We start from the raw sequence: 22,088 nt of genomic DNA, 5'->3' as shown, positions 1-22,088 counted from the left end.
TCATGCCATTGCACTCCATCCTGGGCAACAAGAGCAAAACTCTGTCTCAAAAAAAAAAAAAGAAAAACATGTGAGCTCATGCCTGTAATCCCAGCACTTTGGGAGGCCAAGGCGGGCAGATCACTTGAGGTCAGGAGTTTGAGACCAGCCTGTCCAACAGGATGAAACCCCATATCTACTAAAAATACAAAAATTAGCCAGGCATGGTGGTGGGCACCTGTAATCCCAGCTACTCAGGAGGCTGAGGCATGAGACTGGTTTGAAGCCAGGGGGCAGAGGTCGCAGTGAGGCGAGATTGCACCACTGCATCCAGCCTGGGTGACAGAGTGAGACTCCATCTCAGAAAAAAAAAAAAAAAAAAAAAAAATATTGAGCTCTAATACATAAAACCTAATAGACAGGACCCAATTCTGAAACCCCATCCAGTTGGCTTGAAGTAATTTCAGGAACTTTAGGGCGCTGAAAAACATTCCTCTAAGTATTTATTTCTTGAGTTTGTTATTGTGCAAATTCATATATTTCATCATAATATTTTGGTTGAAATTAGAAAGTAGTAGTAATAGGCAATCCAAAAAAATGGATACAGAACATAATGAAGTCTTAAACTTTATTCAGAGTAAGAACACTTTGTAGAAATAAGTACACTTCATATTTGTACATCCCTGCTAGACAGTTTGAAGCCCCTGGAAATTATTTTACATTTATTTGAGTTATTTATAACATGTGAATTGGCTTCGAGGTGTTGAAAATATTCTAGACTTGCACACCAAGAATTACCAATAAGACCCTGACCTAGTTAGGGCTTTTTGTAGTCTTTTCTTTAGTGTAGAAGTCAAAGAAACCGATACAGATATGTCTTGATAGGCTCATATGCTATAATTGGTTGGATATTAGAAAGCCTGATTTTTAAAAAGCCATGAATGAGTCTTCACTTCATGAATCTGACTTGATTCTTTTTCATTCAATAGGAAAAAGCTCCTCAATTTCTGAAGAGAAAGGTGACTCTGATGATGAGAAACCAAGGAAAGGAGAAAGACGATCATCTAGGGTCAGACAGGTAACTCAGATACCTCCTAAAGCATTACCTCTTCAGTAATGCTTTGGATATCTTCTCTTCTTCAGACTTGTTTTGAGTTTGTATGTCTCTACATTTAGGGGTTTTGTTTTTCTTTTTTGGGACAGAGTCTGGCTCTGTCGCCTAGGCTGGAGTGCAGTGGCACAATCACAGCTTACTACAGCCTCGACCTCCTAGGCTTAAGCAGTCCTTCCACCTCAGCCTCCCAAAGGATTGGGATTACAGGCATGAGCCACTGCCTGGCCTCTAGATTTCTTTGTGGTTATCTTCCTTCTCCTCTTTGTCATCTTTTTGTTGTTCGTTTTGTCTTTTTATTTAGATCTGCTCTGCCTTTTAGATTTCTAAGTGAATATTTTTTAAAAGTTTAAATTTGAAAATTAGCAGGCTGCTCTGTATTCTTAAAGCACATTATTAGACAAGATATGACATAATTAACCATTCAATCAAAGCTTTAAAGTTATATAACACTAAGTGGGCAGAATACAAAAATGTTATGTGTAGTGTAATTATGACTGTACAAAGGAAATGATTAGAGGAAAGAACAAAAAGAAATATACCAAAATGATAAAAAGATAATCGTATTAATTGATAGTAGGTTAGTTCCTTTCAGCCCCCTATCCACCCTTTTACTTTCCAGATGTTCTGCTAATATTTTACTGAAAAAAAAAAAAAGGGGGTGCTTGAAGCTAAAATTTAAACTACATACAAGTAGCTTCATTGTGATATTTCTTTTGGTCACTTTGTTTTGATTCCCCTAAGGGCTACGTTAGTCATGATTGTCTCCTGTCACTCCTGTTTCTGTTGCTGAAAGTATATATCATTGAATTTCTCCTTCCTAGGGGTGTCTTCATTAGATACTTTCTCTCCTCTGTTGACTGTGAGCAAATACATTTGGAGCCATTGTGTATCTGTTCTTTCAGGCAAGAGCAGCTAAACTGTCTGAGGGCAGCCAACCTGCTGAGGAGGAAGAGGATCAAGAAACACCTTCCAGAAACCTAAGGGTCAGAGCAGATCGAAATTTGAAAACAGAGGAGGAAGAAGAGGAGGAGGAGGAGGAGGAAGAAGATGATGAAGAAGAGGAAGGTGATGATGAGGGACAAAAATCTAGGGAGGCACCAATCCTGAAAGAGTTTAAGGAAGAAGGGGAAGAGATACCTAGAGTAAAACCAGAGGAGATGATGGATGAGAGACCCAAAACAAGATCCCAGGAACAGGAGGTGTTAGAGAGAGGAGGGAGATTTACAAGATCCCAGGAAGAGGCTAGAAAAAGTCATCTGGCCAGACAGCAGCAGGAGAAGGAAATGAAAACAACATCTCCCCTTGAGGAGGAAGAAAGAGAAATAAAATCTTCACAAGGCTTAAAGGAAAAATCGAAGTCTCCTTCCCCTCCTCGACTGACTGAAGATCGAAAGAAGGCCTCACTTGTAGCGCTGCCAGAGCAAACTGCCAGCGAGGAGGAGACTCCTCCACCTTTACTAACAAAGGAAGCATCTTCTCCACCACCTCATCCACAGCTCCATAGCGAAGAAGAAATAGAGCCCATGGAAGGCCCAGCCCCCGCTGTCCTCATTCAGTTATCTCCTCCTAATACAGATGCTGACACCAGGGAGCTATTAGTATCTCAGCATACTGTCCAGTTGGTAGGAGGCCTGTCTCCTTTGTCAAGTCCTTCAGACACCAAAGCAGAATCTCCAGCAGAGAAAGTGCCAGAGGAGAGTGTCCTGCCTCTGGTTCAGAAAAGCACACTGGCTGACTACTCAGCCCAGAAGGATCTTGAACCTGAGTCAGACAGATCTGCTCAGCCCCTCCCTCTAAAAATTGAGGAATTAGCACTGGCCAAAGGAATCACTGAAGAATGTCTGAAACAGCCATCTTTGGAACAGAAGGAAGGCAGAAGAGCTTCTCATACCCTTCTCCCAAGCCACAGATTGAAACAGTCAGCTGATTCATCCTCTAGCCGGTCCTCCTCATCTTCCTCCTCCAGTTCTAGATCAAGATCTCGCTCTCCTGACAGTTCAGGTTCTCGGTCTCATTCACCGCTCAGATCCAAGCAGAGAGATGTAGCCCAGGCACGTACTCATGCCAACCCTCGTGGTAGACCCAAGATGGGCTCCAGATCAACATCAGAGTCCAGATCAAGGTCACGTTCACGTTCTCGTTCAGCATCAAGCAACAGCAGAAAAGTGAGTATGAGAGAATCCCGGGTGTATTAATGTTCTGTCATATTCCAGTGGTTTTCATTTCAGCCCCTGGAGAGCCTGTCATGATTTCTGAAAGGAATAGGAAAAGCCTCCTTTACTCTCCTTCACTGATTACTTTCTCCTCATTTCAGAATCGTATTTTCAATTAACTGATTCCCGAAATGGGGTTCTTTTTCATTTTGAGTCCCTTGATAGAATGTTGAATTTATGTACTCATCTCCTCCACTAGATGGAAACTTCTTGAGGATGTGGGCATGCCCTTTTACGTGTGTGTCCCAGGATCTAGCATCTAGTTAAAACTTAATAATTTGTTAAATAAGTGGTCAAGGAGACCACTAAATGGGAATAAACACAGACAAAATGGGAGTAAACACAGACAAAAAGGTCCAGAGTATAAAATTTGGTCCATGGAAACTGGAAAACTCAGCAATCTACTGAATATATACCATATACAATAATTTTCCTTGTTATGTGTTTCATTTTGTTTTAGTCTCTGAGCCCTGGAGTCTCCAGGGACAGCAGCACCAGCTATACTGAAACCAAAGATCCCTCTTCTGGTCAGGAGGTTGCAACTCCACCAGTGCCACAACTGCAGGTCTGTGAGCCAAAGGAGAGGACTTCCACCTCCTCATCCTCTGTCCAAGCAAGGCGTCTGAGTCAGCCTGAATCAGCTGAAAAGCATGTGACCCAGAGGTTACAGCCTGAGCGGGTAGGCTATTGTGACCCCTCCCTACACAGAGATGGAGGATTAAGCAAGATCTTCCCTCTTGTCTTTGCTATAAAACTAAAAAGTTAAGTCTGGACAAGGTTCAGTAGAAATGTGGTGGATACCTGTTAATCCTGCTTAACTCATTTCCAGCTCCCTGGTTCGTAGAAGTTCTACATGAGGCTGAGCAGCAGGGTTATCTCCAGGGCCCCCAGGGTCAATTCTTCCTCATAACTCCTCCTTTTATCTGCCAAAAGGAAGTCAGCCTTTTCTCAGTTCTCTCAAAAAAGAATTCTGTCAGAACAAGGATCACTGAGGAAAAGGAAAAAAATTAAAAATTCTGATAAAATGATTACTGGCATAAATATTCTTGAAGTACCTATTTTTAAGCCATGTTCCTTTCCTTATTCTAAAATGAAATAACAGATACAGAGGGCCGTGTGTGGAGCTGGTACTGTGTATGTCCTGCCCTGCCTTTTTCAGGCTCCAGGTAGAAGAAAAGGAACCAAGCAGATCTAAATGTTTTGCTCTGTTCGTTTTTGCTATCTCCTGACAGGGGAGCCCAAAGAAGTGTGAAGCTGAAGAGGCAGAGCCACCAGCTGCCACACAGCCCCAAACCTCAGAGACTCAGACCTCTCATCTGCCAGAATCAGAAAGAATTCATCACACTGTGTAAGTGATATATCTCGACCGGGGTATAACAGGGAACTATGAGTGTGCGATAGTTCTTCGCTCCCTAGGGTTCTTTGACTAAGCAGTCCTAGTTTCCTTTTAAAACATAAAGGCAGAGCTTTATCTGGACAAAGGCTAGACTTCAGTTACTATGTTGGGAGCTGCCACCTTTAAGGTAACCTGAAAAGTGGTCGTCAGGGCACAAGGAAAACTCACCTGGGATCATCCAGCCAAAATAGTCAACTCCTTTAAGATTTAGGCAATAGAAGCTTCTGCTTCCACACTCAAAACCATGTAAGGGAATTGACTCCGGGCATCTTAATCTTTAACTCATGTTTACCTAGGAACCCAGTTTAATAAAGGATATTGAGGGTCTTAATAAAGGCACAGCTGGGTGCTATTTTTTAGTTTGTGCATTTTCCCTAGTTCCCTAGTTACTACCTGTCATTAAGCTATCCTAGTTCTGCTAGGATATCCTAGTTCTTACAGCATACAGTACAGCAAATTATGAAGTTCCTTTCAAGTCAGAAGTTTGTTCCTGGGCCCTTAAGACCATTTGATTGAACTTAAAATTTATACAATTAATGTGAGTTTTTAAAATCTTTATATTAAGTCCTAGAGAAATACTCATATCAGGTTAAATTAGAATTAAATAGGTATGTCATTCATTCTTCTGAGATAGGTATTATAAATTAAGAAGCCAATGAGCCAGAATTCCTGGCTTCAAAGTCTCCTGGGAAATGAAAAAATGAAGCCTTATGGGAATAAGATTGCGTAGCTTTTAGACATCAGGAACCCTGAACTGCTTTGTAGAATGTCCTGTGTAGACTGTTAGCCTAAAGTTATTCTATACTTGTTTTTATGCCATATTAACACTAATGCTACCAGTATGATTTCCCCTATATGTAATTGTCTAATAATTTATACTCTTCTGAGAGCTTCAAACTGTACTTTAACTCTGACTTTTGGAGGGTAGTGGGCAGGTGACATGATTTATCTCATTTGCCTGTGACTTTAATGATAGTTTTATAGACCTTACTATATAGCTTTTACCTGGGGGTATACCCTTGCTGAGGGGTATAATCCTTGTCGATTCTGACAGTCTTACCTCTGCTGCCATCTTGTGGCTGTTAACATTTTTTGTTTGGCAGCCAAAAGTTCACTCTACTTCCTTTGAAATTTTTTGGTTTTTCCCTTCTGGAATGGGTACGCTATCCTTTGGAAAAGGGTTTTTCTTCTGGGACCATAAAGTGAAAACTCAGCGGATTCTGGAAGGTATTCAGGATTCCCCAGCTACATCATCGATGAGGAAATGGGGTGACATTTTCTCTTCCATATCCCTCAACCAGACATAATACCTGCCCCCCTCCTCCCAATTCCATGGAGGTACATTTTACATTCCATTTTACAAAAGCATGTCCTTTGTGAAATGGCAGTTTTGAAGTGGGTATTGACAGCCTGCTACTAATTGGGCCTGAGGAACTGCTTCCGATGCACCTTGGGAAGAAAGTGATTTTCTGAAAAGCTCTTTGCTAGCCTTAAAATTCTGTGGGTTTATGAGATCCTAGCAACAGAAAGGCATTTTATTTTGTTTTGAAGCAGCTTTTTTTCTGGACATTCCCATGCAAGTCCAGGGCACATGAAGCTTGGAGTCATAGAGTTTCCTGTCCCCCCACTCCAGGTAAAGGTGGTTTTGATCTTCATTTTATGACTGAGATAATTTAGTCACATTGATTCTAATAAGATGATAGGCAAGTGGCATCTTGGGCAAATACTTAGATTGTCCATTGTTGCCTAGGCCCGCTTCAGTGGAGTAGTGTATAGAAGGGAAATGCAGTCTTCACTGAGGAGCAGTTCACACACATCACTCGTACCTGCTTTCCTTCTACCTGCCTATCACATGGGTTGTTCAACATTCTAACAAAACAGCATGCCCAGAAGCCTAAACCCATAGGCATTGGATCTGGTAAATAAATCTTTGAGAAGGTTGCATACATTTCTGGAGGCCCTACCACAACTGATTAACAACACCCTTCCTGGTCTCTCACCCCTCCAGAGTGTTAAGTGTGCAGTCTGGCAGCCCTCTAGAGCTCTGGCCAATTTTGAAAGCGTAATCAACAATGCTAAATGGAAAAGACCATTTATGGCATGGCCAGGCGTGGTGACTCATGCCTGTAATTGCAGCACTTTGGGAGGCCAAGGCAGGTGGATCACCTGAGGTCAGGAATTCGAGACCAGCCTGACCAACATGGTGAAACCCCGTCTCTACTAAAAATACAAAATTAGCCGGGCATGGTGTGCACCTGTAATCCCAGTTACTCAGGAGGCTGAGACAGGAGAATCGCCTGAACCCGGGAGGCGGAAGGTGCGGTGAGCTGAGATCACGCCATTGCACTCCAGCCTGGGCAACAAGAGCGAAACTCCGTCTCAAAAAAAAAAAATGGAAAAGACCATTTATGGCCTAACCTTGGTTTTTCTGTCTGTCTCAACAAGAAGTCATATGACTTTAAAAAACAGAGCAGTAAAGTGTTAAAAAAAAAAAAAATTAGACTTCAAGGACCTGTCACCATTTGGAAGAGATTGACTGACTTTTTGCTGTGTTTGGTTAAATCCATTCTGATTCTGATTGTGCCTGAGGAATTCTAAATTTATGAGGTAAGGTGTCTTTTTCATTGCTTGGAGCAGGAATTTGTGGGTCCTCAGTCCTGTTTCAGTTGAGTGCTGTTCAAAACTCTGGTCTTCTGCCTTGTATGGGTATAACAAAAATGTCCCCATATAGCAGAAAATAATGGTATTCTCTTTTTACTTAAAAAAAAAAAAAAAAAAAGGGGAAGAAAGAAAAGAGGGGATTTGTTTGTGTGGGCAGCTGTATCATTCAGCTGTAGTTAATTCAGACCTGGATTTCTCTAGATACAACCTTCCTGTATGCACAGACCTAGCAGGCAATAGCAGTTTTAGGCTCTTGGTACAATGCATGTTTGTCCTTCTGCCTGTGTAGGAGGAAGGTATTGGTTCCTTAAGCCAATATGATGGTGTAATTGATATTCCCCAGGGGACATACAATGCCAATATCCCAAATGATGCATGAAAAAGCAGAATTTGTTGTCATCAATAGAGTTTGCTCCACTGAGAAATTATCTAAGGACATATACCCCAAAATCATACTGTTCTAGGTTATCTTGGGACCAGTATGCTTCTGAGGGTATCTAGTCCCACTGTTTCTTATTAAATTTTCACGTCAGTTTTTCAGCTCCTCGTGAATTTTCTATAATAACTAAAATTTCAGCATATATGCCTATAGGAATTTCCTTTTCCATTAGCTTCTCTGAATCTCATATTCACATATGAGTTGTAATGTGATATTATTAGCCTCCAAGTAGTTGTACCCTTTTCTTCTGGGCTTCTTTGTGTACTGTTTACTTATGGGTAGATATCCCCACTGCTTATTCTGTGCAGTTTCACAGACTGTTAAGCTATGTTGGGCTCTGACACATGGTTAACAAGGTTTTGGTACTAGTCCTGCAAGTAGATAGAGTCCATTTTGGGGACAGTTTCAAGGATTCCTCTTTATCTTTTTTCTTTTTTGGAGACAGAGTCTCACTCTGTCACCCAGGCTGGAGTGCAGTGGCCCGATCTCTGCTCACTGCAACCTCCGCCTCCTGGGTTCAAGCAATTATCATGCCTCAGCCTCCTGAGTATCTGGGACTATAGACGCGGCTGCCACACCCTGCTAATTTTTCTATTTTTAATAGAGATGGGGTTTCACCATGTTGGCCAGGCTGGTCTCAAACTCCTGGCCTCAGGCAGTCCTCCTGTCTCAGCCTCCCAAAGTGTTGGTATTACAGGCGTGAGCCACCATGCCCGGCCCTCATTATTGTCTGAAAATAAAATGTTCGGAATTGTTGGGTCCCACAGAATTGATCATGGGGAAATAGAAAACACACGCCTCTTGTGTCTTAAGAGGGTAAAGGAGAACGTGGTAAGATTCTTATTCTTAAAAAAAAGAAATTTTCGGCCGGGCATGATGGCTCACGCCTGTGATCCCAGCACTTTGGGAGGCCGAGACGCGCGAATCACAAGGTCAGAAGATCGAGACCATCCTAGCTGACACAGTGAAACCCCGTTTCTACTAAAAATACAAAAAATTAGCCGGGTGTAATGGAGGGTGCCTGTAGTCCCAGCTGCTCGGGAGGCTGAGGCAGGAGAATGGTGTGAACCCCGGAGGCGGAGCTTGCAGTGAGCTGAGATTGTGCCACTGCACTCCAGCCTGGGCAACAGAGTGAGACTCCGTCTCAAAAAAAAAAAAAAAAAGGAATTTTCAATAACAAAATTTCTCAAAATCAGCCACTTCTGCAGAGGCATATTAGCAGCTGAGAGTATTTTAGGACAGTGGATAAACAGAGCATTTTATTTGAGGATGGCTGAAGGTAACATTTTCTGTGGTGTAACATTGTTTGTGGGGATTCTATTAAAAAAATTTTTTTCTTTTTTTGAGATGGAGTTTTGCTCTTGTTGCCCAGGCTGGAGTGCAATGGCACGATCTCGGCTCACCACAACCTCTGCATCCTGGGTTCAAGTGATTCTCCTGCCTCAGCCTCCCGAGTAGCTGGGATTACAGGCATGCACCACCACGCCCAGCCAATTTTGTGTTTTTAGTAGAGACAGGGTTTCTCCATGTTGGTCAGGCTGGTGATCCGCCCACCTCAGCCTCCCAAAGTGCTGGGATTACAGGCGTGAGCCACCATGCCCAGCCAAAAAATTTTTTTTTCAATAAGAAAACTTTTAGGTTAGCAAGCATTTAGTAAGTGTCCACTTGGTACCCACAATGACACCCTAATTCAGAAATAGTTAGGGAACATTACTTTGTGTTAGGCCCTGGGCTAGGGGCCAAGAGATGCAATCCCTACCCTTGAGGAATTATGCAGGGTAGAGATGGGGGGCAGATAAAGTAGCAGTTATTATACAGAGTGATAAGGGCATTGCTGAAAACCTGTCATGCCAATCACTGAATGGCTTTGCCTCAGAAAACAAGCAGTCTACTCTTTTGAGGAAACTCAGAGCCCCAGAGGTGGCATCAGATGAGATAATGGCCTATTAAGTGTGCATGTATTTTACATGTATCTGTACCTTCACTTGGGGTGTCCTCCAAGCCAGACTCTTAAGAGCTAACACTTAACTACACTGTTCCATGAAATAGGTATTGTCACTATGCCCACTTTGCAGATTACAAGACAGATATACAGAACCAGGAACTTGCCTACTATCACACAACTTTTAACAGAGTGGGGCTAGCCAGTCTGACTCCAGAGTCTTCACTCTTAACCCTGAGCAGACAGGGACCACTATGTGAAAGGAAACATTTAAAGTAATGTATAAATATGGCCACTTTAGCATGCAGTTGGCATTGTAAGTGTAAGATTTTAAGCAGCGGGGAGAAAATTTCATTCCTAGCTTAAAAGCTCAAATGTTACACGAGACACTGAGCTTTGGTTCTCAGAAGTTTATCTTAGTGTAAACTTCTACTGCCACTAGGACACAAAAGGAACATCTCTGCAGTCAACAAATAAGCATTTTGAGTATCTACTGAGCACTTTTTGAACTATTAGCATCTGTTTCCCACTTTGGTCTAGTGAAGATTCCCATGATTAATATTTTCTGCTTAGTTCCCAGTCGCTTTCTGCCCAGCTGATCTTCCCCGCCCCATATAGCAGCACTCTCACTTCACTGTCTTATCTACTTTAGAGCCTCACCTTGGAGCCCTTGCTTCAAGAAGTGGCCTTCAAGCTTCAGCTACCCAAGGTCCCCTTGCCCTGTTTATCCTTTCTTTTTCTGGCCCGAGTGGACCCTGGGGCAGGGTGACCTTATTAAAGACTCTATAAAACAAAGTTGTCTGTCATCTCTTCAGAGACACCAACCCTGCCCCCCTTCTACTGGTATTTGAAAAAAGAACTCTCCCTGCTATCCACTTCCCTCCACCATCCCTGGGAAAAGGACATGTTGGAGTAGTAACACGTGGTCATTGCCGGGGTGAGCAGCCAGTTACTGTAGTGATTGGATAGTGACAATTCCCATCCCACCTCCCTACCTGCAGCATCTGACTGGTTGGTCTGGTTTCAGTGTTCCATGCCTAGATTACTGGATAGAGGATGGTAGGCACATAAAACATTGCTCATGCCCCACCCTCTATCCAGCTTTCATTACCATCCTTCTTTAATCACTTTTCAACTTTGGCTTTATCGTTCTTATTTAATCCTTTTTCACTCCCACCTCTACTGTTTGCCTGCCTTCTATTCTCTCTATTTTCTAGAATCTTCCAATCAAGCAGCTGTAACTTTACATGTCCTCCACCCAGCCCCCTCCCCTGCCCCCTGGGAAGACCAGGAGGGAGCACTCCAGCCCTGGGGGGTTAAGCCTCTGTAGCTGCTGTAACTTGAGAAAAGAAGGCCAGGCCTCTGGAGCCAGCAGTCGGCTCCCTGTGGCCTGCCAAAGGATAAGAACCTTGCTCACTCAGCTCCCTCCCTCTTTTCTTTCCCCTCCCCTGCTGCAGCAAGGCCCTCCCCCATCCGCACACACAGGCTGCTGGGTAAGTGGCAAGATGGCTCCCCTGCATGTCTCCGGCTGATCGCTGCCGCTCCGCCAATACAATAGAGCCAGCCACTACCAGCAGCCTGGCCCTCTTCCTCCTTCTCCAGAGAGACCAATCCAGCCGAACTCGGGGTTTGCCGTGAGGACTTAACGCTTATCTCTTAAAAGCCAGATCTGTTTTAGCCTCCCCGCACCACCACCACCTCCCCTTCCATTTACCATTTTTTGGATCCCCGGTTGCTACATCTCAATTTTCTCTCTCTGGATCGGGTGGCTGGGGAGGAGGTGGTGGGATCTTGGAACAAGGAAGGTGTGGTTTTTTTTCTTTATTTTTTTTAGGATTTTTTTTGTTTGGTTTTTGTTATTTCTTCCATTCCAGAAAGGGATAAACAGCACTTCCAGGGGGAGAAAAAAAATCATGTTATCAGAAAGCAAAGAAGGGTGAGAGCTTCACATTTCCATGTATGCCTTTTCCCCGCCGCCCTAGCTCCCTTCGTCTTCCTTCTCTTCCTCATGGCTTTCATTCCGTCTTTCGTTTTGGTTTGTTTTCAGTCATTCTGCCTTCCCCCTTTGTCCTGCCTGCCCAGTTTCTAATTGGCCCCACATGCCCTTTCTGTATGGGAAATAGATATTTTTTTTGTATAAGCCTTTTCTCTAGATGTAAGCAGCTAAATCTCGTGTTTCTCTGGGGGCCTGTTTAGCTGGGGGCACAGTTCCGATTTTCCCCTCCCCCTAACCCCCCTAGTGCATCCCTTCTTGACTGCTCTAGGGAGGTTCTTCTGACCTCTGAGTGTCAGTCAGTCAGCCTGTTGGGAATGCTGACTTTTCTGGTGGTGGTTATCGGCCTGGGAGGCTTGGTTTCCCCTCTCCTGAGCCTTAGGCCTCTGATCATCTTGATTTGATTTTTTTTGCTTGGTGTTTGGGTGGTAGAGGGGGTGAGATTTGAGATAGAAGTTGGGGACGAAGACAGAAATCAAAGGTGGAAAGATAGTTTATCTGAAGTGAATCTCTGGGATTCTTTGCCTGAAATGGGAGCTAACTTGTGAGATTAAGAGTGGGAGAGTGGGTTTGGTGTTCTTGGGGGAAGCTGCCTGTGTGGGGGAGGGTGTGTCCTGACTAGGAGGCCTGCTCTCTTTATCTCTTGGAAGTTGGAATGAGGGAGTGGGAGAAACTGGGTGAAAGCCGAATGTAGGAACAGTTTCTACACCTCTGAGCAGGTAAAAGTGGCCCTAATCTCTGAGCTCTCATACTCAATTCAGCAGTTTTAATTTTTCCTTTTGAATGAGAGAGGGTCCTTGAAGCTTGAACCTTCACCAGGCCTGCTTCTTCCCTGCAGCTCCCACCCCCCGCCCCGCACCCCCCACCCCCCACCATTTTCTCCATGCTGGTGTCTCCAGATCCTGAGGATCAGCAGGCCTTTACTTATTAAGCAGTTGATTAAACACAGGTCAGGCTTTTTTGCCAAAGCCTTGGCCATTCTTTCTTGTCTTTTTAAGGGAATCGGGCTTCCCTTCGTTTCTCGTGCAATTTTGCCATATAAAGGTGCCTTTGGCCAGGGAGACTGAGGCCACAGGGTTGTGGGCAAATCACAGTCACTTTTGTGGGACTATTTTCAGAGGAGGGTTTTTCTCCTTTCATATAGGAGTACTCTGGTGAGTTATTACCTGAGAATAGTTGGAGTCCTAACCCCACAAATGACAACTTTTAACTCATCTGGGCAATAGGTGGATGTGGTTGCTGTGATCCACGCTCTTTCCCCAAGGAAAATCTATTTCCCACTTTTCCCATTGGGACAAGGTCTCTAACCTTGATCAGAAAAGCAGCCCTCCTAATCCCACCCAAGTGATGAGGCAGGAGGGTTTCCTGACCCAGTAACTAACATCTTGCTCTCTCTTCCCCTTGGTTCTTTTCTGCCCGCCCCCCCACCACCACTCCCCCCTCCTGTCAGTGAGGAGAAGGAGGAAGTGACCATGGACACAAGTGAAAACAGACCTGAAAATGATGTTCCAGAACCTCCCATGCCTATTGCAGACCAAGTCAGCAATGATGACCGCCCGGAGGGCAGTGTTGAAGATGAGGAGAAGAAAGAGGTAAACATCCAAGCCACCTATTGGGGCGGGTGGGCAGGAATGGACCTAGGGGAAAGAGTAGAGCACTCTAGTGATCCCTCTTACACGGTGGGTTAACTTAAAGGAGGGATGAGGCAGGGACTTGGATCAGAATAGGGCCAAGGGAGAATTCGCTGGTTTAGCAAGGGAGACCCCTTGTGACGGGGACAGGGCTCATTCATTTTCCTTTCCTTGTTGGGGAAGTAGTGCCCAGACTCTAGACGTTTGTAACTAACGGGAAAGTCTGATAATGGCCCTTTATCTAAGATTTATGTTCAGCTTTTCCTGCTGTCTTCCCAAGCTTCTCCTGGTGGTAACTCCTTTAGCTTTCCCTCCTTTTTAAAAGCCTGATGGAGCCCAACGCCATCTAGTGGACATTGGTGGTTCTCACCAGACCAGCCATGCTGAGAAATTTTTGTTCCTCCTCTGCCCTCCAGTGGTCTGACTGCAGAGATGTAGCTACTTAGAAGCCAGCACTTGTGATCCGGAAGGCCCATTCTCAGTTACCTGTGACCCCTCTACCTCCTTTTTTGGCATATGTTATCTTGTGTCCTGCACCCACTTCAGGGGGCTTCCCCCATCAGAGCCAGCGAAGTCTTCTTGGCTCTTAAAGTAATTGAGAAAGAATGAGCTGGGTTTAGGAGAGGGGTAACAAGGTGGGAGGGACTGTTGTGTGTGTAGCCTTTTTCTGGTGTGTGTTGCGGGGGTGGGGGCCGGTGAAAGTGATTTGATGTGCAGAATATTATTTATTACAAGGTCCTTCTTCCCCGTAAAACTTTGTCCAAGTACCTCATGTACGGTAATCCGCCCGTAAAATATAACCCTGCCCAACTGGCCAATCGCTGATGCCGCCTCTTCCTCTGGACCCACCCGCTGCTACTGAGCTGCCCAATCAGAGCCAAGTCTGCTATCCAGGTGTCTTGGCCAGAGGGGGGCATGTATATGGGCTCCTGTGATGGGCCCCCTTTTGCCTCCCTGTCTTGCTTACATCAGGGGGCCAAGAAGAACACTGTTCTGGAGAGACTTGTATTGAGCAAGCAAAAAACATTTGGAAAGGGGTGGACTTGCATCATCTCCCTACTTGGGACACCCCAAGAAGAGCTTGTGCCAGTGCTGGGGCGCCTGCCCACATGCCCTTGCCCTTTTGAGGACTGTGGGTTGCCTTGTTTGCTACAGACTGTTGGGATCCCCATCTAGGGCACCAAGACCTCCTAAAGTTTGTGATCGCAGTGCCATGCTGTAAAACACTGAGTGGGACCCTCTACTTAAGCTGTGACGACTAGGAACCGTGCAGAGGAGTCTAGGGTCTGAGCCCCTGGGGATTTAATGCTGATGACAGCCCAGCCCATGTGTCACCACTTGCTCATCAGATGGACTTTCCTTTGGTCCCTGTTGTCCATGGTGAAGGGCAGCATGTTGGTTGCTCCAACTTCTCCTCCATCCCTGGAGGCAGGGACTCATTTCATCCACCTGACTGGAACCACTGTCTCAGCTGGAGTCCCTGAGGAGATGCCAGCCACAACTCTCCGAAGAGAAGTATTCTGACCTTGCTGCTGAATGTCTGCCAGGTCCTGGGGTATTCACCTACCCCCAGGCTACCTTCATCAGAGGCTCCATGATCCCACTCGGTGAGAGGACCCCCTCCCCAGTTACAGGCAGAGGAGAAAGGGACTCTGGAGTCATCACCTGGATTCCAAGTATTGGGTGGTGTTATTGCTGCAGCTTGCCACTGGTGGACATAGGGTCCTGCCTGCCTCTCACGATAAAAGGCAAGGATCATTCCTGCTACTCACAGGCCATCTCATCAGGGACTGCAAGATGATGTCCCTTCAGGGCCAGGACTGATGTCTCTGCCCCTTTCCCCCCTCTATCCCTCGCTGAGCCTGGCCACCGCCAGTGAACTGTCTTGACATCATGGAAACTGGGCAGCGTCCCCCCACACGTTTCCCTCCCGCCCCCCCTGCGCCCCTGGGAGGACTCTGGCAGTGCCGTGCTGACTACCACGCCGTGCGCCCACCTTTTTTGCCAACCCAACCCCCCACCAATTGCACAGCGCCTAGCAGGGAGGGCTCATTCTGATTGGACCGGCGGTTGACTAGATACAGTACACAGTGAGGTGCGATTGGCTGAACTGAAGATCCCAGGTGTGAGATGGTACCTGGAACATTTGTCATATTCCTAGTTTATTTTCTTCTTTATTTTCTTCTTCTTTTTTTAATATTTTATTTTATTTTTTTCTATATCTTTATTTTTTCTGATTTCTTTTATTTATTTATTTGGTTCATGTTTTTCCTGTTTTAATTAAGACCTTTTTTTTTGTTTTGTTTTTCTCACTAACTTACCCATCGAGAGCGGCCCAGCTAGGGGTCAGGCTGGCCCTTAACAGAGACCAAGGAGACTTGGTTAGACGACACAAACGGGGCTGCGGGTGGGGGTGGATGGGAAAGGGATTTCATCACGAGGTTTCTGCCCTACCCTTTAGAAGAGTGGTAGAGTGGTCTTAGTTTTTCCAGAAATAAGCACCTACACTTGAAAATACTCTATTCCCTTTTTCTCTCTCACTTTTCTCCCCCGCCCCCCATAGTCTTTCGTCATTCACCCACTGAGTGTTTGGGGTAGAGACTTGTCCCAAAGATGTCTTCTGGTCTTTGGCAGAGCCCCTAAGGCTTGAGCCCTGGTTGGAGAGGAAACAGTAAGACTCTGCTGGAGCTCCCTGCGGTGGCTGGAAAGTCTAAGGATCTCCTTGGGGACAATCTGCCCTTCATAAAAACCTTCCTTTATCAAAGACACCTTTGAGTTCTTTTTGCTAGCACTTGGCTCAAGAGCCTCATCTCCAGTGGGTCTGGTGCTGCCCTTTTCCACAGTGTGGTGGGGGTCTGGGCAGTCTTGACATGACAGTCTGCTGTCCAAGCATCTCAAAGCCATTGTCAGTGGGCATCAGTCTGGCCATTGAAGAAAGGAGGGTTACCTTGTTGAAGTTGCCATCCAAAGTTGGTTTTCCTTGTTTCCTCGAGTTAGCAAGGAAGGACCTGGGAGGACTAGATGACCCAGTTTGGGGCACAGTTTGTTTGGCTTGGTGTCCTCTCGACTCAGACGGTGAAAGAGGGGGTATGACCAACATCTTTAGGGGGCTGAGAGGCTACTGAACTCCTCTTCCAGCTTATTTCTGGTTAAGCTAATACACAGGTGTGATACGGAGTAGATGACTTTTCCCTGCTCTGATGTTTAGTTTTATTTTTTTCTCTAACTTGCATTGATTCTGCTTCGTTTTTGCCGTTTGCCGCTTCTGTTTTGGTCTCTGTCTGTCTCTGTGTCTCTCTCTGTCTCTCTCTCTCACTCTATCTGTGTCTTTGGAGGCTAAGCTAAGACTGCCCCATCTAACCTCCTTCCCCCCTCTCTGTGGGGTGTCTCTCTTTCTCTTTTTTTTCCCCTTTTTCTTCTTCATACAGAGCTCGCTGCCCAAATCATTCAAGAGGAAGATCTCCGTTGTCTGTAAGTCCAGCCCCAAATCCCTGATAAAAGTCAGGAATACCATAAAAACCAGCATTCATTGAGAACCAGAATTTCATTCTCAATGGCATTCTTGGGTCACTCCCTCCTGCCCCACCCCTTGTGCCTAGCAAATCTGAATCCTTTCCTATGTAGGGTTTCATTTTGGAATTCAAAACTTGAGACAATCCCCATCATATTGCTCCAGTCACATTTTAATGAGATACAGTGTGAGGTGTCTGAGACCATGTCCCATTTAGCCTTAGAGGCATTTATTCTTTCAGATACCTGAATACTCAACAAGGAATGAGTTTCAGGGACTCCTATGTGATGCTTAGCAGTTTATGAATTATTCTGGGTATTTTGTTGTTGTTTTTTTGAGACGGAGTCTCCCTCTGTAGTACCCTAGGCTGGAGTGCAGTGGTGCGATTTTGGCTCACTGCAACCTCCGCCTCCGGGTCCCAGTTCAAGCAATCCTCCTCCGCCTCCTGAGTAGCTGGGATTAGAGGCATGCGCCACCATGCCCAGCTAATTTTTGTATTTTTAGTAGAGATGGGGTTTCCCCATGTTGGACAGGCTGGTCTTGAACTCCTGACCTTGTGATCCGCCTGCCTTGGCCTCCCAAAGTGTTGGGATTACAGGCGTGAGCCATCGTGCCTGACCTTGTTTATGCGTTATTCTAAGAGAGCACCCAAGGAAATGAAAGTGCCCCACACCTCAAACAGTAACAATTTTAACATTTTCCCCAATGAGGAACTCTAGATTACAAAAGTATAATAGATGTTTATAACTTAAATATCAATCTGTAGTGTGAAAATTAAAGGAAGACCAGATCCCATCATGATCTTAGTTCTGCCTAGATGTTAGTATCACATAGTGTTCTTGTTTCTTCTGCATTTACATGTCCTTCTCAGTTTTTCTTCCACACTACTTGATATTACTGTCTACCATTAAAAGTTTAAACGGCTCATCAAACTAGCTACCCCTCCCTTACTGCTTTTAGATCAGTGTTCAGTCTGAAGCCATGGTTTCCCCAGTTCCCAAATATGATTTCTTTTCTTTTTTTTTTTTTGAGACGGAGTCTTGCTCTGTCACCAGGCTGGAGTGCAGTCAGTGGCACCATCTTGGCTCACTGCAGCCTCCGCCTCCCGGGTTCAAGCAATTCTGCTTCAGCACCCTGAGTAGCTGGGATTACAGGCATGCACCACAACGCCTGGCTAATTTTTGTATTTTTAGTAGAGATGGGGTTTCACCATGTTGGTCAGGCTAGTCTCAAACTCCTGACCTCGTGATCCACCCGCCTTGGCCTCCCAAAGTGCTGGGATTACAGGTGTGAGCCACCACACTCAGCCTCCAAATATGATTTCTTTAAGTTAACCTTTTACCAAAACTCCAGCCAGAGGTAACCTGTAGGTATTACGGTTTGAACTAGCAGAGGTCCTGAGACCATCTAACTGTTGGGTCTATTTCTTGGGGACAGCAGCTACCAAGGGGGTGCCAGCTGGAAACAGTGACACAGAGGGGGGCCAGCCTGGTCGGAAACGACGCTGGGGAGCCAGCACAGCCACCACACAGAAGAAACCTTCCATCAGTATCACCACTGAATCACTAAAGGTGAGGTGGGAGGAGCCAGGGAAGGGAGGATGAGACCTGTTAAGGTGGGAGTAGACATGGGCCCAGTGTAACGGGGTGGGGGGTATCTGTGTCCCAGAGCCTCATCCCCGACATCAAACCCCTGGCGGGGCAGGAGGCTGTTGTGGATCTTCATGCTGATGACTCTCGCATCTCTGAGGATGAGACAGAGCGTAATGGCGATGATGGGACCCATGACAAGGGGCTGAAAATATGCCGGACAGTCACTCAGGTAAGGCTTCTGCACCCCAGTGTCAGGGGAAAGGTGGGAGCAGTAGATGCAGAGCAGCTAGCTGAGGAGCTGAGATAAAGTCTTTGGAGGGAACTTCCCTGTCTGTGCAGAGGGTTGGGTTGACTGACACTTTCAGGGGTCAGACTACCAAATCCAGCTGGCTACCTGTTACAAATAAAGTTTGATTGGAACACAACCACACGAGTTCATTCACTTTTGTCTGTGGCTGTTTGTTCACTACAACATCACCAGAGTTGAGTAGTTGCAACAAACTATGTGGCCTGCAAAACCTGAAGTACTGCTTTGCTCTACAGAAAAAATTTACTAACTCCTGTCTTAGTTTTCCTCAAGGCAAAGTTGAGGCACTAACAATCCCAGGATCTGGTAGAAGTGAGCCGATAACGAAATACCCCTAGCGGAAGGAACATGCTAGATTGACTGCTACTCTTACCGGGGAACCAGAGGCTGAAAAGAATATGCCAGTTTGGTGTTTAACAGACCTGCTGTGTTCTCTGACACCTTGATAGGTAGTACCTGCAGAGGGCCAGGAGAATGGGCAGAGGGAAGAAGAGGAAGAAGAGAAGGAACCTGAAGCAGAACCTCCTGTACCTCCCCAGGTGTCAGTAGAGGTGGCCTTGCCCCCACCTGCAGAGCATGAAGTAAAGAAAGGTGAGTGACATATTGTGAGAGAAATGTAATGCGGCTCCCTGAATTCTCAGAGCACCTCATTTGGATCGCTGAAAGCTTTGAATGTTTCCTGCCTTTCATTATATTTTTTCGTATATCATATCTTTCTCCTACATATTAAGTAAGCTACTTGAGGGCCAGATTTGACTCTGTTTAATCTTTGAATCTCCATGATGAGGAGGTTAGCCTAGCACAGTACTTTGCAGATTATAGGTGCTCTGCACGTTTAGATTAAGGAGTGGCTGCTTGGTATAAAAGAAAGGGAACCGTGAGAGTTACATTGAGGGTGAAAAGAGCCAGTATTGCTTCCTACCAAAAGCTGTTCTTGTGGTCTTCTTGATAGTGACTTTAGGAGATACCTTAACTCGACGTTCCATTAGCCAGCAGAAGTCCGGAGTTTCCATTACCATTGATGACCCAGTCCGAACTGCCCAGGTGCCCTCCCCACCCCGGGGCAAGATTAGCAACATTGTCCATATCTCCAATTTGGTAAGTCATTGTTTCTCACCATCCCAGCTTGCTTAGTGGTTAAGTTTGAGCTTTAGGCTTATGCCTCCTAGGTTCCACTCATAGTTGAACTGGTCTACCAATAGATTAAGTTACTCACTGATCTTGAGTGAGTTACTTAACATATTTACCCATCTAAAAATGAGGGGGAAAAGCTGTTGCCCTGCAGGGTTGTTTTGAGGACTTGCAGAAGGCCTCACATACAACGTCTCAATTAGTGCTGGGAAGCACCACCACTCTTCTCACATTCTTACTGCAAGGTTCCTAAACTCTCTGCCCTCCCCCAAACCTTGAAACTATACTCCTGTGACAGCAGCTCGGGAAATCTAAAGATTGGGTGGTGGTCTTGCCTTCTGCTAGACCCTGAAAGTCTATTTTCATTGGCAGGTCCGTCCTTTCACTTTAGGCCAGCTAAAGGAGTTGTTGGGGCGCACAGGAACCTTGGTGGAAGAGGCCTTCTGGATTGACAAGATCAAATCTCATTGCTTTGTAACGGTGAGGGGAAGAAGCTGATTCTATAGGTCATGGCATATATTTCCTTTTGTGACCAGTGTGGGCAGGTTTAAGGGTGTTGCAGCACGTGGGAAGGGTTGCAGACACACTGTGACCCTCCATCTTCTCCCTTCCTCCACCAGTACTCAACAGTAGAGGAAGCTGTTGCCACCCGCACAGCTCTGCACGGGGTCAAATGGCCCCAGTCCAATCCCAAATTCCTTTGTGCTGACTATGCCGAGCAAGATGAGGTAAGAAACCTAGGGAGAGGAAAGAGAGGAGGGGCAGGGGAAGCCATTATCTGCTAGATTTCAGCTGAGATCCTTGCCAGACCTGCAGTCTCTGAGCTTCTGTTCTTTTCTCTTCTTCCCTGGCTTTGGTTCCTTTAATTGTACCATGGGGCTTCAAAGTGGTACCTGGGCTCCTTTTTTTTTTTTTTTTTTTTTTGAGACAGAGTCTCGCTGTCTCCCAGGCTGGAGTGCAGTGGCGCGATCTCAGCTCACTGCAAGCTCCGCCTTCCGGGTTCACGCCATTCTCCTGCCTCAGCCTCCCGAATAGCTGGGACTACAGGCGCCCGCCACCACGCCCGGCTAATTTTTTTGTATTTTCAGTAGAGACGGGGTTTCACCGTGTCAGCCAGGATGGTCTCGGTCTCCTGACCTCGTGATCTGACCGCCTTGGCCTCCCAAAGTGCTGGGATTACAGGCGTGAGCCACCGCGCCCGGCCATCCTGGCTCCTTGAGTGGGAGTGATATCACCTCTATCCTAACTGTCCTTGTCCCTCCTCTCCCCACAGCTGGATTATCACCGAGGCCTCTTGGTGGACCGTCCCTCTGAAACTAAGACAGAGGAGCAGGGAATACCACGGCCCCTGCACCCCCCACCCCCACCCCCGGTCCAGCCACCACAGCACCCCCGGGCAGAGCAGCGGGAGCAGGAACGGGCAGTGCGGGAACAGTGGGCAGAACGGGAACGGGAAATGGAGCGGCGGGAGCGGACTCGATCAGAGCGTGAATGGGATCGGGACAAAGTTCGAGAAGGGCCCCGTTCCCGATCAAGGTCCCGTGACCGCCGCCGCAAGGAACGTGCGAAGTCTAAAGAAAAGAAGAGTGAGAAGAAAGGTAGGTACTTAGCTATGGGGTACGCATACCCACTAGTAGGTGGGAAAGGGACCCAGATGGGATGGGACAGAGGGTCAGATGCATCATATCTGGTTCACTTTTTTCCACCTCAGAGAAAGCCCAGGAGGAACCACCTGCCAAGCTGCTGGATGACCTTTTCCGAAAGACCAAGGCAGCTCCCTGCATCTATTGGCTCCCACTGACTGACAGCCAGGTGAGTGCTCTTCTTCGTGCCCTGCTCCCTAGTGGCACTGAGGCTTGAGGTCAGGGTGAGGGGAGATTCATGTGACTGCGAGAGTGAGTCGGCCCAAGTACTTCCTAGGTTTAGGATAAACTAAGCATCACAAAAAGGCAGTTTTCAGTTAATTGGTATAACATAGAGAAACCAGACTCAGGAGGGTAAAGATAGACACGCAGATAGCAGCTGAAGTTTGTGGATGTCTGGGAAGCTGGCTGTGCCGACCAGGCTTCTTAGAACTTGATTTTAGGCCGTGCGTGGTGGCTCACGCCTCTAATGCCAGCACTTTGGGAGGCCGAGTCGGGTGGATCACCTCAGGTCAGGAGTTGCAGACCAGTCTGGC

General features: G+C 46.2%; 1 protein-coding gene and 1 long non-coding RNA gene across 21 annotated transcripts in view, besides 6 other annotated features; one reads left to right on the top strand and one right to left on the bottom strand.

Moving 5' to 3' along the window:
• ACIN1 (apoptotic chromatin condensation inducer 1) overlaps positions 1-22,088 on the top strand; it is a 37,051-nt gene that overhangs the window by 12,810 nt on the left and 2,153 nt on the right. For 4 of the 20 annotated variants that reach the window (NM_001164815.2, NM_014977.4, NM_001386863.1 and 1 more), the window contains 14 exons: positions 969-1,057; positions 1,996-3,258; positions 3,767-3,985; positions 4,539-4,654; positions 13,188-13,329; positions 16,797-16,839; positions 18,317-18,450; positions 18,548-18,700; positions 19,228-19,369; positions 19,731-19,876; positions 20,282-20,389; positions 20,530-20,637; positions 21,183-21,507; positions 21,621-21,721. In NM_001164815.2, the coding sequence (NP_001158287.2) occupies positions 969-1,057; positions 1,996-3,258; positions 3,767-3,985; positions 4,539-4,654; positions 13,188-13,329; positions 16,797-16,839; positions 18,317-18,450; positions 18,548-18,700; positions 19,228-19,369; positions 19,731-19,876; positions 20,282-20,389; positions 20,530-20,637; positions 21,183-21,507; positions 21,621-21,721 (3,089 nt within the window). Of the gene's footprint in view, positions 1-968; positions 1,058-1,995; positions 3,259-3,766; positions 3,986-4,538; positions 4,655-11,235; positions 11,681-13,187; positions 15,446-16,796; positions 16,840-18,316; positions 18,451-18,547; positions 18,701-19,227; positions 19,370-19,730; positions 19,877-20,281; positions 20,390-20,529; positions 20,638-21,182; positions 21,508-21,620; positions 21,722-22,088 lie in introns of those variants that run through there. The other 16 variants (XM_047431115.1, NM_001164814.2, XM_047431113.1 and 13 more) reach the window with 10 other exon arrangements.
• Positions 591-4,539, bottom strand: LOC124903288 (uncharacterized). The gene is made up of 2 exons (XR_007064077.1): positions 4,108-4,539; positions 591-3,345 (listed from the first exon to the last, which is right to left on the bottom strand). It is a non-coding gene; the product is annotated as an uncharacterized LOC124903288 (long non-coding RNA).
• Positions 3,214-4,413: an enhancer, noted in NCBI's record as "MED14-independent group 3 enhancer chr14:23547601-23548800 (GRCh37/hg19 assembly coordinates)". NCBI's record gives its function as "activates an origin of replication core promoter dependent on BRD2, BRD4, P300/CBP and CDK7 cofactors, and independent of MED14, by STARR-seq in HCT116 cells {active_cell/tissue: HCT116}" and the evidence as "EXISTENCE:reporter gene assay evidence [ECO:0000049][PMID:35650434]".
• Positions 11,352-11,421: an enhancer, noted in NCBI's record as "active region_8161". NCBI's record gives its function as "activates an Ori minimal core promoter by ATAC-STARR-seq in GM12878 lymphoblastoid cells {active_cell/tissue: GM12878}" and the evidence as "EXISTENCE:reporter gene assay evidence [ECO:0000049][PMID:35858748]".
• Positions 13,452-13,541: an enhancer, noted in NCBI's record as "active region_8160". NCBI's record gives its function as "activates an Ori minimal core promoter by ATAC-STARR-seq in GM12878 lymphoblastoid cells {active_cell/tissue: GM12878}" and the evidence as "EXISTENCE:reporter gene assay evidence [ECO:0000049][PMID:35858748]".
• Positions 13,622-13,671: an enhancer, noted in NCBI's record as "active region_8159". NCBI's record gives its function as "activates an Ori minimal core promoter by ATAC-STARR-seq in GM12878 lymphoblastoid cells {active_cell/tissue: GM12878}" and the evidence as "EXISTENCE:reporter gene assay evidence [ECO:0000049][PMID:35858748]".
• Positions 13,819-14,343: an enhancer, noted in NCBI's record as "H3K27ac-H3K4me1 hESC enhancer chr14:23537671-23538195 (GRCh37/hg19 assembly coordinates)". NCBI's record gives its function as "activates a minimal SCP1, AML or CMV promoter by ChIP-STARR-seq in primed H9 embryonic stem cells {active_cell/tissue: H9 hESC(primed)}" and the evidence as "EXISTENCE:reporter gene assay evidence [ECO:0000049][PMID:30033119]".
• Positions 19,970-21,169: an enhancer, noted in NCBI's record as "CDK7 strongly-dependent group 2 enhancer chr14:23530845-23532044 (GRCh37/hg19 assembly coordinates)". NCBI's record gives its function as "activates an origin of replication core promoter dependent on BRD2, BRD4, P300/CBP, MED14 and CDK7 cofactors, with strong dependence on CDK7, by STARR-seq in HCT116 cells {active_cell/tissue: HCT116}" and the evidence as "EXISTENCE:reporter gene assay evidence [ECO:0000049][PMID:35650434]".

This window comes from Homo sapiens, chromosome 14, assembly GCF_000001405.40.
Source record: "Homo sapiens chromosome 14, GRCh38.p14 Primary Assembly".
Taxonomy (NCBI): Eukaryota; Metazoa; Chordata; class Mammalia; order Primates; family Hominidae; genus Homo; species Homo sapiens.
Note: the sequence above shows the minus strand (reverse complement) of the source record. Positions and strands in the feature narration are given on the sequence as shown.